The sequence below is a fragment of the Homo sapiens genome, chromosome 12, assembly GCF_000001405.40.
Source record: "Homo sapiens chromosome 12, GRCh38.p14 Primary Assembly".
Classification (NCBI taxonomy): Eukaryota; Metazoa; Chordata; class Mammalia; order Primates; family Hominidae; genus Homo; species Homo sapiens.
Genome location: NC_000012.12, coordinates 3,832,629 through 3,848,886, shown reverse-complemented (window position 1 = coordinate 3,848,886; position 16,258 = coordinate 3,832,629). Strand labels below are relative to the sequence as shown.

Below are 16,258 nucleotides of genomic sequence, written 5' to 3'. Positions count from 1 at the left end.
ATTTTCTCCCATTCTGTGACTTGTTTCTTCACTTTGTTGATTGTTTCCTTTGTTGTGTAGACTCTTTTTAGTTTGATGTAATTCCAGTGATCCATTTTTGCTTTGGTTGCAGTGCTTTTGAGGTCTCACACAAAAAATCTTGCCCAGACCAATGTTCTTATTTCCCCAGTGTTTTCTTCTAGTAGTTTCATAGTTTCAGATCTTAGATTTAAGTCTTTAATTCATTTTGATTTGATTTTTTAATGTGGTTAGAGATAGTGGTATAGTTTTATTCTTCTGCGAATTAGATAGTCTTTATTCAGTTTTCCCAGCACCATTTATTGAAGAGACTGTTCCCATTCTATGTTCGTGGTGACTTTGTTGAAATGAGTTAGCTGTAAATGTGTGGATTTATATCTGGGTTCTCTATTCTGTTCCATTGGTCTATGTGTCTTTTTATGCAAGTATCGTGCTGATTTGATTACTATAGCTTTGTAGTATATTTTGAAGTCAGGTAATGTGAGGCCTCTAGCCTTATTTTTGCTCAAGATTGCTTTGGCTATTCAGGGTCTTTTGTGGTTCTATATAAATTTTAGGATTTTTTGCGTTTGTTTATTTCTGTGAAGAATGTCATGGTATTTTGATAGGGATTATGTTGAACCTGTAAATTGCTTTGGGCAGTATTGTCATTTTAACAATATTAATTGTTTCAATTCATGAGCATGGAATATCTTTCCATTTTTATGTCTTTAATTTCTTTCATAAGCATTTTATAGTTTTTCCTGTATAGATCTTTCATTTTAGTTAAATTGACTCGTATGTATTTTATATTCTTTGTAGCTATTGTAAATTGAATTGCTTTCTTGATTTCTTTTTTAGATTGTTTGCTCTTGGCATGTATAAATGCTACTAATTTTTGTATGTTGATTTTGTAACCTGCAGTTTTACTGAATTTATCAGTTCTAATAATTTTTGGTGGAGTTTTTAGGTTTCTTTAAGAATAGGATTATGTCTTCTGTCAACAAAGGAAATTTAACTTCTTTCTCTCCAATTTGGTTGCCATTTATTTCTCTTTCTTGCCTAACTCTTGCCAGGACTTCCAATATCATGTTGAGTAACAGTAGTGAAACTGGACATCTTTGTCTTGTTCAAGATCTTAGAAGAAAGGCTTTTAATTTTTTCCCATTTAGTGTGATACTAGCTGTGGGTTTGTCATCTGGCCTTTATTATTTTGAGATACGTTTCTTCTATATCCAGTTTGTTGAGGGTTTTTATTATAAGAAGATGTTGAATTTTATCAAATGCTTTTAAAGCATCTATTAAAATGATTATATGGTTTTTCTTCTTGGTTCTCTGTTGTTGTGATCTGTCATGTTGATTGATTTGCATATGTTGAACCATCCTTGCATCCTTGGGATGTGAATCCCACTTGATCATGGTGAATGATTTTTTTAATGTGTTGTTGAATTCAGTTTTCTAGTATTTTATTGAGGATTTTTGCATCTATGTACATGGGTGATATTGGCCTATGGTTTTCTTTGTTTGTTGTGTCCTTATTGGGTTTTGATATCAGGATAATGCTGTCTCGTAGAATTGAGTTTGAAGTATTTCCTCCTTTTCAATTTTTTTGAAGAGTTTAAGTAGAATTAGCATTAGTTCTTTAAATGTTTGGTAGAATTCAGCAGTGAAGCCATCAGGTCCTGAGCTTTTCTTTGATGGGAGACATAATTACAGCTTCAATCTTGTTACTTATTGTTGGTTTGCTTAGGTTTAATTTTCTTTATTTTTCCTCTTCTTTTCTTTCTCTTCTTCTGTTTTCTTTTTCTTTCTTCCTACAGGATCTCTCTCTGTTGACCAGGCTGGAGTGCAGTGGTGCAGTCATAGCTCACTGTAGCTTTAACTGCCAGAGCTCAGGTGATACTCCCACCTCAGCCTCCCAAGTATTTGGGACCACAGGCACGTGCCCAGCTAATTTTTAAATTTTGTGCAGAGACAGAGTTTTGCTATGTTGCCTAGACTGGTCTTGAACTCCTGGCCATAAATGATCCTCCTACCTCAGCCTCCCAAAGTGCTGGGATTATAGGCATGAGCCACTGCACCCATCCTATTCAAGTTTTCTATTTCTTTTTTCTTTTCTTTTTTTTTTTTTTTAAGACGGAGTCTCGCTCTGTTGCCCAGGCTGGAGTGCAGTGGCGCAATCTTGGCTCACTGCAAGCTCTGCCTCCTGGGTTCACGCCATTTTCCTGATTCAGCCTCCCGAGTAGCTGGGACTACAGGCGCCTGCCACCACACCTGGCTAATTTTTTTGTATTTTTAGTAGAGACGGGGTTTCACCGTGTTAGCCAGGATGGTCTCGATCTCCTGACCTCACGATCCACCCACCTTGGCCTCCCAAAGTGCTGGGATTACAGGCATGAGCTACTGCGCCCAATCCAAGTTTTCTATTTCTTTATGATTTAATCATAGTAGATTCTATATGTCCAGGAATTTATCCATTTCTTCTAAGTTTTCCAATTTGTTGGCATGTTGTCCATAATAGTCTCTAATAATTCTTTGTATTTCTTGTGGTCTCAGTTGTCACCTTTTTCATTTCTGATTTTATTTGGATGTTCTCTGTTTTTCTTTTTTTTTTTAAATATATGCACACAGTTTTATATATAATGCAGCATCACACCATGTAGGGCATTTACTCTTATTTTATACATTCAGATATGTTTGAAACACTTCTTAAGGCTACAAAACAGAACATAGAAAAATAAACAGGAATATATTCAACACTTACAAAAAGTGATATGATAAAGAATATAAAGTACTAGTTTCCTTTTAACACTTCAAAAGATACGTATATATACTTTTTTTACAAGTAACATCACAAATGATCACATCTTCACATGCTCTTAAAGTATTATTTGTACTCAGTGTAAGGCTATTATCGTTTTTCATACACAAAATTTTCAGCTCTGTAACACAATGCAATTTTTAATCCATTCAAGTAAGTTCAACCCCAAAGTTGCTGCTTCCCAGCATTAAGACATGCACCCACTCCTCTTCTAAGATTTTCTAAAACTTGTATTTCGGGGAGAAAGACCTCTTTTAAAAAATAATCCCAATTAGTGGGAGAGTAAATGGCTGACACTAGTAGCAAAACCTTAGTTATTTGAAAATAACATATTGGAAATGAGACATTATTAGGATTCTAAACAAAAACAATAGCATTTAGACATAAAGTAGGAAGCAAAACACAGTACACAGAAATAGTGTAGCCAAATACGTATTCTCTTCAGCTACACTAGAGTGGACCTTGCTTAGTATCCTTAAGTAAAAGACAAAACATTTACCTCATCTAAAAATGAAGGGTAAAACAAAAGAGGCCAAAATAAATATTGCTAGTTTCTAGGATGGCTGAATGTTTTCTAAACCAGAAATGGTTAGAAAGGAACTTTATTGCACCAAGTCAATCATAAGCAAGTTTGCAGTTCACAGGCATTTTAATTCAACCTTGAGTCACAAAGGAAACAACACACTGCAAGAATACAGTCTGCATTAAATAAGATATATCGGCATTGTGGTCTGGGAAACCTACTCTTGCCAGGACAAGGCAGGGTCTGAGCTTAGGTCTGCCATGAAAATGAATTTGTGGGTTATCAGTAAACAGTATGAGGACTACACAGATGCCAGCATCCTGCTGCCAAGGAGACATGGGGCAAGAGTTGAAGATTTATTTGAGAGGAAATGAAGAGACATACACAACACCAAAGGGAAAAGGGGGCTGGAATAAAGTTCAGCCAAAGCACCTAACACAAAAAACAGGTGAGCTTTGGTCAGTCTGTTCTTCAAAATATGTATGATCATAATATGGTGAAGTTTCATAATTTCCAACTCAAAAATGCAAATGATCCTCAGTTCTATACTTTTGCCTCTATTCTCTTATAAAGAAATATGTCAACATACAGTATGACATAAACAGTTAAAATGAAGGACAAAAGCTTGCTTAGCCTTAGTTTGACCTCAGCATAAGGCAAAATCCCGTGGACTAATTAATACATTTAAAAACAAACTTAAAGGATAAAAGCGAAACCAACCTTCATGCAAAGATTAATTTTAAAACTATCAAAAGTCAGTTCTTTTATTCCGGAGGTCACTGAGAAAAGTACCATCTGCTAAAATTCTCTTTCAAGCACTTCTTCCATCATATCCTAGAGGTGAGATATGGGAAACAGAAAGCAAATCAGTGTTTCCTTCAGGAGCTATATATTCTGTTACTCAATTGAGGTAAGACAAAGTGACAATGAAGATATGAATAGTATTTCCTTCCAATTTTTAAACATTTTCAGAAGCTGAGATAAAACCCCAGTCAATAAAATGCAGCAACAACTTATTTTGGACTCCTGAGATCAAACACATTGAACTTTCAAATCTGGTGTTTCTATCAAAATGTGATTTTCATTAAAATCAGGTAAGCTAGTCCTACAAAAAAAAGCATAAGCTGAAAGTGGAGGACCCTCTATCTTCTCATTCCTTAACTGAGCCACCAGTGTTAAGAAAGAAATGGCTTAAGCGGTACCTTCAACAACTATTCTAGTTTAGAAGGTGACAACAAATTCCTTTCAATAGATTCTCTCAAAAAATGTTTTCCACACAACCATCCCAGTCTTTACAATTTTTTACCTAGCACCATCATAATAAAATGTTATCTTTCAAAGTGCTCTCTAAAATCCTGTTACATTATCTAAATGCTAATCACTACTCAAATCAGCAGTTACACGGACGTTAGGTAATTAAAACAGCACAGAGGTAAATAACCATTATTACAGTACAGTGGCGATTCACTGAGCCCAGCTGGCATCCAAACATTCCCATAGGTTATCAGAGAACCCAGAAAACTCATCTGTTTCAGTTTGTCAAATTCAAGTGAATTGTATTTTCTTAAGTAATTTGCTTTACAAAAAAAGAAAGTCACCGCATCTGGTTTTGGCTAGGTGTATTACACATGGTATGCAAAGAGAAATTACTACTATGTTATTTGCATAGCACTCAAACTTCCTGATCAGAAGATAATCTCAACATAATAAAAGAGTGGATTTTCACATTGGTATGTACAAATAAGGAATATAAGCTACAGTTATTTTTACAAAATAACACAGATGAATGAATACTGTGTTAATTCAGAGTTCAATCTCCAAATGAGGACAGAGTACAACATGCAAAGGGAACCTCTAGTGAATACTGCAAAGACTGGAAGAAAGCAGAATGGAAGATGTTACCTACCTAAGGGTAACAAGCTATAAAATACAAAGCAAAACCATTTTCTAGCAGCATCCTCTAGAAAAGAACTAGAAGTCACAATCATATTATCTTCTATACGATAGTTCCAGCCCTGACAAGGAGAACATGCAAGTGTAAAGTGAAAGTGATACATAACCAATGGTGCAAGGGGAAAAAAAATACACACACAGTAACTCTAGAAACCTGTCAAGCTAAAAATTTTTAACATTTCTTCTCACAAAATATTTAGAATCTGTCAGTGCATTAGTGTTAAAGTGGCATTTAGAAAACTTCTGCAGTTCTGACTGATGCAGATTATTTTCAAAATGCGTAGCATCTACATTTCTTTCGAGTAGGCACCATGATATTTACACCAGTGCTAAGAATTCTTGGTGGAAACAGCCATTTCATTGGATTTCCTACTATACTTCTGTGCAATCTCAACAAATACCAAAATTCAAAAATATACCTTATGAATATTAAAAGAACTATATACAACATTGCTAAGACACAGTTAATAGGCTGCCTTATGTGAATATTAAAGAGAAGACATTATTCAAGTTTGACAGATATCGAGATGAAAGGCCTTTGGGTTGGAAGCATTTTAAAAGACAACAGTGTTTTAGGCTGAGAATTGTCTGAGCCCAGTTTATGACTAAGGCATTGCATAATAAAATAGACATTTCTATTTGGTGCAACGTTATGTTTGGAATCTATAGTGTGTCAAATGGTGTATTTTCTTGTCACTTTAGTAAGCACTATAAAGCACACATTTCCAACATTTGAAATCAGACTTATAAACTTATAAGGAAAAAGCCAAACACTAAATCTATAATGTTTTATATTAAGCTGCTTATAAAAATACTTTAACAAACATCTGCTTTTTACGAGGACAGTCACTTGATAGATAAACAGATTCTGAATGAAGAAAACCGGCAATGCCAGGAATTAACCTGCCCCCTTGAACTCATGTCCACAATGTCTTGTCGAGTATGGGAGGGAAGGTAAGGAGGCTGGGGAGAGGAAAGAGTTCCAACTGGGGTTTTTACTTTATTGTAGTTTTTTAAAGCCTTCAGAAACATTCCACCTAAGAGTTTCTGTTAGAAAATACTTCGGCAACAACCGTCAAGCGTGCTGTCCCCTATGGCCATCTCCCATCCCTGATCTCCTCCTATCTCCCCTAAATGGTCGCCCTCTGACATTTCGATGGTACTGATAACCTTCATCCCGACTTCTGCTTGGCTGTCCTTTCCAGGACTCCTCACTTCTCACATGTTGATATCCGCCCCTACCAGAATAGCCCCAATCACTTTTGTACTTCCTGCTCCCATAAGTTTGATTATAGAACTGCTTGGATCTACCACTTCTCAAAATATGACACTTCATTTTCATTTTCTGAACTCTCTTCTTTTGGTCTTTGCACTCTGCTATCCACAGAGTTGGCCCCAGGGCTGACCACATCAGCAGCAGTCTTAGGATCTTTTACTTTTTCTGTTTTTTCTTTCAGACTTTGAATGGTCCTTTTAGGTTCAAGTTCAACAGGCACAATTTCTCTCTCTCTCTGTTTAGAATCTGAGTGGGAGGGTGAGCCTTTCCCTCTGCTACAGGAGGGATGGAAGCCAATGCCATATCTGCCTTTCGTGTCTGGGAAGATTGCTCTGTCCGGCCTTCGTCTGGCTTACTGCTCACACTTGCTTCAGGGAGAGAATGTACATGTTCACTCCTGGCTGCTGGAAACTCATCTACTGTGGAAACTGAACCACAATCTTTAGACAGATCCAGATTTTCCAGAGACAGATCCAATTCTCCTTTCTCATCAGAGGGCAGGACAATATTCTGCCTCATTACTGGATTTTCTATGAATCCCTGAAAAGGGTACCCATGCCAAACATGAGGAAAGAAAGGAGGTGCAATAGGAACTGGGCCTAAGAATGGATTGGGTCCAAAAGATGGCTGGGGGAACATATTCTTGCCACTCAGTGACTCTTCATAATCAGCATGCAGAAGCTGCCCAGGGGTCTCAGATTCAAGATCAGCCTGGTAAGACAATTGTCCGTGACTTTCAGACACCTGAGATGGAGGGATAACCAGAGGTGAAGAAAATGTCGGCGGTCCAATCACTGGCTGTAGCATTTGACCATTAACACTAGCCTCAGTCTGCATAGGAAAGTGGGCATCAGTACAGGTACAATCACTTTAATTCTGGGCGGCAGGAGCCTCTTTGAACCAGGGATTATGAAGATAAACAGGGACAGGGACCTTTGGGTACATCCTGCAGGCTGCCAGGTAGGCCTGGTGCAGAGGGTACAGGTAAGAATGTGGGGCCCACACAGGACAACTGTATGCCTTCACACCAAGATTGAAGAAGAATCGAAGAATATTCTTATCTTTAGGTAGGTCCTCCCCAGTCTGACACAGTGAAGAAGGTGGTACAATGGCTCGATCTCCCTTTTCATTACAAGGAAACCCAGGATAGAGTGGGTCTTGATAAAGGCTCAATGTCTGAGGCAAAGGCATCAAGGGCTGGTTAACTGCCTGTATTGACACAGGAACTGGAGAGGGTGTTAAATGAGTTTGGGATACAGCAGAATCAGGTCCAGGGGTCAAAGTCTGTGTCACTGACCGACCAGGAATTGGAGCAGGGACACCTGTTGGTCCAAAAGTTGTAGGTTCACTTGGCCAGGCTGGCACAGTGGCTGGTAAAGAAGGCACTGCAGGAGTTAGATGTACCTCTGGAGAAACTAGAAGGGGAGCTGGATTTGACAAAGACACATGTTCTGCTGGCTTTTGTTCTGCAGGAGAAGGGCACTCTAACTTCTTTGACTTTGATGGTGATGAAACTGTTGCATATTTATCATCAGTAATATTCTCCAATATGCTTGGTTCGGGTCTTTTATCCAACTATGTCCATGAATAGAGTCTTTGTCTTTTCGTTCTTCTGTATCCATTCTCCGCCTGCTTCCTTTTCTATCACTTACGTGTGATGATTTTCTCTGGACACATGGATTGCTACTCTGAGAAGTAGCAATAGTTAGATTCTCGACTTGTGTGATCAGAATCCTCAACTCTTTCACGATCAGGTTTTCTTATGATCTGTGAAGGTGTCCGGCTAAGATTTTTGTGCTCACTGGAGAATTTCTGAGACTGTGACCCTGAAGAATGACTAGAGAACTCACGTTGTCTTACTCCTGAAGGATGCTGCAGTCGAGGAGGTAGTGCTAATGGGGCTTTTATTGGCTTGCTTGGATTCTTTGGCCCTCTGTAATCCATATCAGAATGGAAATTTTGTCCAGAAGTGGAAGGTTTTTTCATCTTCTTCCCTGACACTGTGTTCCAGCTTTCTGGGGGAGGTGCCTTGAGGTTCTTTGATGTGTACTTTCCCAGTTCTTCAACCAAAACTGGTCCATTCTCAGAATGAACTCCTTGAACGTCTGCATTCAAAAATTTTCCATTGTGATCCAACCTAACTTGACATTTGTCTCCAACTTCATATTGTAAGCCAGCAGCAATGGAATAATCACGTTTTTGCTGAGCTTGTTTAGACTCCAGCCAAATTTCATATTCCACATTTCTATAGACTGCAGGATTGAGTGACTTAAGAACCTTTCTAGCCAAAGGCAGGCTAGTAGAGTTCCCATTGTTCTTCAGCTGCTCGTTGCCTGACAAAGGTTTAAATCCATTCACATCAGCAGCAGCAACAGCAGTTTTACTCTTGCAGCTGTCATCCTCTGAATCTGATATTTCACTGTTGTCTTCATCAGCTACTTCCAACGTGTCTAGTTCCATCACAATTTTACTAACATCAGTTTTAAATACCTTCTCATACAGCAATTCATAAAGGAGAGACTGACACATAGCAGAGCTTTCTTTATACTTTACGGGATACACAATATCATAATGATTTCCATTTGAAAAACACAGTAACACCTTTTCAGGAAAATTATTTTCAGTTACTTGTGAAGGAGAAACATTAGGTTCCAGATTAGTTATAAAATCTTTCCTGTACATAAGAGAAAGGGCACTTATTTCCATTTGTCCTACCCATTCCTGTGGATTTTCCAAGCGCTTTAAATATCCTTCAAATGATCCTCCTATAATCGCTTCAAATTTCTCTCTGTTCTCTCGAAGACAGTGAATACAGGCCATTCTGACTTCAACATGGCGAGACTGAGAGTGCAATACCTGCTCCGCCACGGCCCGGAACAGGCACGACCCGTCCTTGGCGACCAGTTTCCGATACAAGCCCAGTTTCCGCAGATAGGCGTCCATGGGCGTCGCGTCCTCGCGGGGCCCCGCGCCGCCCTGGTCCTCGCCGTCGGGGACGCCGACGGCCGCCTCCATGTTGCTGGTCCTGCTGCAGGCCAGGCGCGAGGGCTAGCCCCACATGGCCAGGCCGCCGGCTGCTCGACGCCCCGGCCTGGGGTAGGCGGCGGCTCGGGCTGGGGCTCGGGCTCCGCGAGCGGCGGCAGGCGGCAGGCGGCGGCGGCGGCCCGAGGCAGCGGTCCGCGCTCTCCGGGCGCGTAGGGGAGCCCTGCCTAATGCATGGCTGTCCGTACGCGGCCGCCTCCTCGGAGCGAACACGCGCCCACGACAAACGGGGGGAGCGGGATTAAGGAAAACCCCGAGAGTGAGTAGTCACTTCCCGACGGCCTCGCTGCCCGACTCAGGACCCAGGCCGGGGGTCGCCGCCCCCACAAGTTTCCTCGTCTGTACCGGTGTGAAGCGAGAAAAGCCCCGCCCCAGGCGCGCACGCCGGGCCGGCTCAGGTGAAGCGGGGCCTGCGTCCCCCGCGCGCTCCCCACGCCGGGAGCCGAGGAAACCAAAAAAGAAAGACGCGGCCTTTCGTTTCCCCACCACGCTGGAGGGCGCCGGAGGGGCGGGGAGCGGGTGGGGGCTCCCCCTGGATCTTCTCTTTTTTTCTTAGCCTTGCTAAGACTAAGAATTGTCCATTTTTGTTTATCTTTTGAAAAATGTGGCTTTTTGCACCATTGATCTTTTATATTGCTTTTTAAGTCTCAATTTTATTTATTTATGCTCTGGTATTTATTATTTCCTTCTGTTAATTTTGGATTTGGTTTATTTTTGCTTTTCTAGTTCCTTAAGGTCTGCATTGTTAGATTGTTGTTTTCTTTTTTTAGAAGTGTACTTTTTTGATACAGCTGTTTATTGCTATAAACTTCTCTTTTAGTACTGCTTTTGTTGTATCCCATAGATTTTGGTATTTTGTATCTCCACTTTCATTTGCTTTAAGAGATTTTAAATTTCCTTCTTAATTTCTTCATTGGCTAGTTGGTCATTTTGGAGCATGTTGTTTAATTTCCATGTTTTTGTGTAGTTTCCAAAGTTCCTCCTTTCTTTGGTTTCTAGTTTCATTGTGGTCAGAAAAGATAAGTGATACGATTTCTGCTTTTTTGAAATTGTTGAGACTTTTTGTGGCCTAAGATATGGCCTATTCTGAAGAATATTTCATGTGTTGATGAAAAGAATGTGTATTCTCCAGCAATTGAGTGAAATGTTCTGTAAATGACAGGCCTATTTGATCTAGTATGTAGTTTAAATCTGATGTGTTTTTTGTTTTTGTTGTTGTTGTTGTTGATTTTCTGGCTGGAAGTCCCTTTTTATTATTTTTTTAAGTTTCTTACTTTTGCTGTATTGCAGTCTACCCCTCACTTTAAGTCTATTAATGTTTGTTTTATATACTTAAGATCTTGGGTGTTGAGTGCATAGATATTTATAATTATGTCCACTTGCTTCGTTGACCCCATTATCATTATTTATTGACCTTCTTTATCTCTTTTTACAGGACTTGTTCATAGTCTATTTTATCTCTTTATAAATATAGCTACTCTTTGCTCTTCTTTGTTTTCCAATTGCGTGGAACATCTTTATGCCTTCACTTTCATCCTCATGTGTGTCTTTATAGGTGAGGTCGGTTTCTTGTAGGTAGTATATATTTGGATCTTGGTTTTTTTTTTTCTTCGCCATTCAGCCACTCTGTGCTCTTTAATTCGAGAAGCGAGTCCATTTGCATTCAGGGTTATTATTTATAAAGTCGTCCTTACTAGTTCATTTTGTTGCTTATTTTCTGGTTGTTTTGTAACTGCTCTCTTCCTTTCTTACATCTTCCTTTCTGGTTAAGTGATTTTCTCTGGTCGTATGTTTTAACTCATTAGTTTTTATTTTTAGTGGGTCTATTATAGGTTTTTGCATTATGGTTACCGCAAGACTTACAAACACATCTTGTAGATTCAACAAGTTGTACTATAGAGAGATTAGAGATCTTTGTAATTTAGCTGTTGAGTATCTTTTTTTACCCACTAGGCCTGCCTCCTTTTAAGCACTAGATGGTGCCTTACGCTCAGGTTTTTCTCAGCTCTAGTAAATAATTAGGACACTGCCCATGCTGAGTGGGAGAGGTACCAGAGAGGTTATCCTGGCAGTGCGGGAAGGCTGACTTGGAGTTTGTGCCTGGGAAACCTGTGGAGTGAAGCTCCTACAATGTGGTGTTGCTGAATAGCCACTCTGATTTGGTGTCGTCTCCTTTGATTGAGTTACAGAGCAGTTTCCAGGGTTAGGGATTGTAGTCCTACTTGACTCCTTTGTCTCTGGCTGTTTTCAGGGATAGTTCTCCCTTCAGGTACTCCCAGTGCTTCCTGTAGATTGAGGTAGGGACAGGTCTTCTGTCAGGGAACCCAAGATGGTGGGAAAGCTGGTTGGCCACCTTAATCTCACTTTTTCCAGTGTAGAAATCATGAATCAGGGGAAAGTTTTCTGTATGCTTGATGCTGGGCTGATTTTGTGGTGAGGCATCGTGGGTGAGGAAATCCAATTCCGTTACTGTCTGCTCAGAGTTTTTTCATTCCTCTGTGTCCCTGGGAACTGTCTCTCCCTACATAATATTTGCATTCTGGGATATTGCTGGCGATAATCTTGGTGCTGTGTATTTGTTTTTGGTTTTCTGTGGGGGCAGGGAGCAAAGCCAGCTTTCTTCTGTGCCACCATCTTGGAACTGGCAGTTCATGTATTGGTTTATGTAGTTACTTGTAAATCAGTCAAGAGAGGAAAGGAGAAATCAGCAATTATACCTTTTACCAGCGCTCTTTTCTTTTTTATCCCCCATGGATTATTACGAATGCCTAGTATCATTTCAGCCTGATAAACTTCCTTTATTATTTCTTGTAAAGCAAGTTTGCTAGCAGTGAATTCTCTCAGTTTTTGTAATTGTGGCAATATCTTTATTTCACCTTCATTTTTGAAAGATAGTTTTGCTAGTATAAGATTCTTGGTTGATAGGCGCTTTTTTTTTGTTTGTTTTTTACTTTATGTATTTTGAGAATGATGTCTCCTAACTTTTGGCCTCTAGGGTTTCTGATGAGAAAAGTCAGCTGTTAATCTCATTAGGATTCTCTTATATGTGATCAGTTGTTTTTCTCTTGCTGATTTTAAGATTTTCTGTTTGTCTTTGGCTTTCGAAATTTTGACTTTGATGTGTCTGCATTTGGATCTCTGTGTTTTTCCCTTTTGGAATTTATTGAGCTTCTTGGATGTGTAGATTTATATCTATACACACACATATATATGTGTGTGAGTGTGTGTATATATATATATGTGTGTGTGTATATATATATAAAATTTACAAATTTGGATAGTTTTACTTTCTTTAAAGTTTTTCCTGTGCCTTTTTCTCTCTCCTCCGCTTCTGATACTGTAGTTATTTATATGTTGGTGCACTTAATGGTATCCCACATTTCTCTAATGCTCTGTTTATTTTTCTGCAATTTTTTCTTTCCTTTCTTGCATTTCATCTGTTACATAATGTCTATTAATTTATGTTCAAGTTTGCTGATATTTTCTTGTTCACAAATCTACCACTGAGCCTTTCTAGAGTGTTTCATTTTACTTACTATACTTTTCAACTCCAGAATTTCCATTTGATTATCTTAAATTATTTCTCTCTTTATTGATATTATTTATTTGATGAGACATTGTCATCATAATTTCCCTTAACCTGTTAAGCAAAGTTTCATTTATGTCTTTGAGCATATTTGTAATAATTGCTTTGAAGTGTTTGTTTGCCCAGTCTACCACCTGTGCCTCATCTAGAGGCAGCTTCTTTTGGTTTTCTATGTGTATTGATCACATCTTTATGAAGTTTTTTTATGTCTCATAATTTTTTTGTTGAGAACTGGATATTTTAAGTAACATAGCAACTCTGGATACTGATCCCTATTGTGGTTGTTTGTTTGGTTATTGGTTTATGTGTATATAACAGTGATATAGCTGAACAAATTCTGTAAAGTCCATTTTCCTCACAGTGTGTAGCTTCTGATATCCCAGCTCAGACTTTTCCCCTCTTAACCTGACTACTTATGTGGCATTTCTGGATTGGCATAGACTATGTACTGGTCACAGGTTGTGCTTACATTCCCTGAGGTAGGTAGATTTTTACCCTTAAGTGTTAAATGTGTGTGTGGCTTGGTGGCTGCTATTATAGTTCAGGGAGTTTACATTTTTTTTTGTCCTGCATTTAGCCAGGTGCTAGAAGCTTGGAAGTTAGTTCCTGAGAGGGCCCAACCTTGAGCATGTACACAGTGTTCCAGACTGTCAGGGATGACAGTGCTGTTTCATTTAACCCTGGCTTCATAGGAATTACCCCTGGGTCAGAGTAGCTTCTGTTACGTCGTGTTTGGCCAGAGGTGGTGATTCAGACCCTTGTGCCAATGAAGTTTCTCCGCTCTGTCAGTGGGTACGTGTATAGCTTAGAGAACGTTTTCAAGACTGCCCCACGTTCTGCCCTGATCATTCCTGGGTGTACACAGCCTAGTGTTTTTATACTGCCTTTCTGACTCCTCTCTGATCTAAGAGGGCTCTTCTTGGCTGTCTCTGGTTCTCTGCATTAAACTTCTGCTTGCTCTGCCTTTCTGCTTATATTGGAGCTCCTAGCCTTTCTTAATTGTTTTTCATTAATATTTCCACTGTTTTCTTTCTTTCTTTTTTTTTTTTTTTTTGAGATGGAGTGTCGCTCTTGTCGCCCAGGCTGGAGTGCAATGGTGTGATCTTGGCTCACTGAAACCTTTGCCTCCTGGGTTCAATCAGTTCTCTTCTCTCGGCCTCCTGAGTAGCTGGAACTACAGGTGCACGCCACCACACCTGGCTAATGTTTTGTATTTTTTGTAGAGTTGGGGTTTCACCATGTTGGCCAGGCTGGTCTCAAACTCCTGGCCTCAGGTGATCTGCCCATCTTGGCCTCCCAAAGTGCTGGGATCACAGGCATGAACCACCACACCCGGCCCACTGTTTTTGATAATGCCCTTAGGCATGGGGTTCTGCTCTCTGTTCCAAATAAAGTCAGTCCTCTCAGATGGAAATGTAGAGCTCTTTGTCCTTATGGCTCGTCTTTACCCCTGAGCAAAGTCTCCATGCCACTGCTCCTGGGGCTGAAGGTGAGAGTCTTTTTTCCCCAGAGTAACACTCCATTCTTAGAGTGGGCAGTGGAGTGCTGGTAGCAGCCCTTGGTCTTCTTAGCTGACTGCTCCTGGCACAAAACCTCTACTCTGGGAGGAAGTTGGGGCGGTGGCAGTCAGGGCCCAGTATTTGCAGCCTGCTGTACCTGGAATAGAAATTCTACCTTTTGAATGGGGGCTGTGTAGGGAAAGAGAGACGGGTCCTCTGTGTCACCTCTCCAGAACAGAGCTTCTACACCTCTGGGCTGAAGGAGAGGAGAAACACCAGCAGCCTGCCCTTCCCGGGGTAAAACTAGCCACAGACTGGAAGCCTGAGGGAGAGGGAGCCCTCTGCCTGTCTTTTGGGTACATATACCGCAGGTAGAGGCTTCATAATACAGACCTGGTAGGATGTGGGGAATGGTGCAGTTTGTAACTCAAACGCCACAGACTCTGACTTGTTCTGAGATTGAGTACATTTTCTTGAATGAATGTTTCTCCACTTTTTGTATGCCCTTAGTACAGTTTCCAGAGACTTTAAATGTTTGTTTTTTAAAAAAATTTTCAGCAGTTTTTAATTTTTAATTAATTAATTTTTGTGAGGCAGGGTTCTGCCGTGTCAAGCTGGAGTGCAGTGGCGTGATGTTAGCTCACTGCAGCCTCAAACTCCTAGGCTCAAGTAATCCTTCCATCTCAGCCTCTCAAGGGGCTAGGACTATAAGCATGCATCAGCATGCCTGAGTAATTTTTATTTTATTTTTTTGTAGAGATGGAGTCTCACTGTGTTGCCAGGCTTGCCTCAAACTCCTGGCCTCATGCAAACCTCCCTTCTCAGCCTCACCAAAGCCCTGGGATAACAGGTGTGAGCTACCACGCCCGGCCTACTAGTTTTTAAAATGTAGTTTTGCCAGTTCCACTGAGCTCCTTATTCTGTCATTCTGGAAGTTCTCGTTCATTTTTAAGCTTTTAAGATCAGGTTTGAGATCTTCTTTATATGTAGAGGCAAGGAAGTTGTTATTACCAAATATGATTTCCTGAAGATACTATACTCATGCTAACAAAATAAATTATACTTTGTTGTAGTAAACTAAAATTTATATCAGAAAACTTGAAACCAGTCTGGAAGGCAGCCTTATTTTCCTTATATAGACCAGGATTTTGACTTTAAACTCATTTTCCACACAGCTTTTCAATTTGATGATTCAGACTGACTGTTCCCAGGCTCTGTAAATAAAGATTCTCTTTGTAACAGATAACATTACGGACAGGCTCTACCAGCATACCCATTGCCCTTGAAACTTTACAAAATGCTTTGCCGCTTTGTACTAGCTTTTTCTTCTTCCCAGCCTGCTTCTAATTACAAACAGGAAAATCAGACAGGATATGGCATTGTGACTGAACAAGTTCATTCATCTAACATTATTAAATACCTGCTTCATAACCGATAACTGGTGAATATTCTTTTTATTACCTATAAATGTGTCCTAGCCTAGAGCCATTCTTACTATGGTTGCGATATTTTAAAGTTATTAATTTAAATTTGACTTAACTCTTTGAGCATAATTATGCAA

General features: G+C 39.9%; 1 protein-coding gene and 1 pseudogene across 6 annotated transcripts in view; one reads left to right on the top strand and one right to left on the bottom strand.

Moving 5' to 3' along the window:
- Positions 1-16,258, top strand: part of PARP11 (poly(ADP-ribose) polymerase family member 11) — a 64,539-nt gene that overhangs the window by 24,513 nt on the left and 23,768 nt on the right. The window lies entirely within an intron of this gene.
- On the bottom strand, positions 2,611-9,428 carry OTUD4P1 (OTUD4 pseudogene 1; annotated as a pseudogene).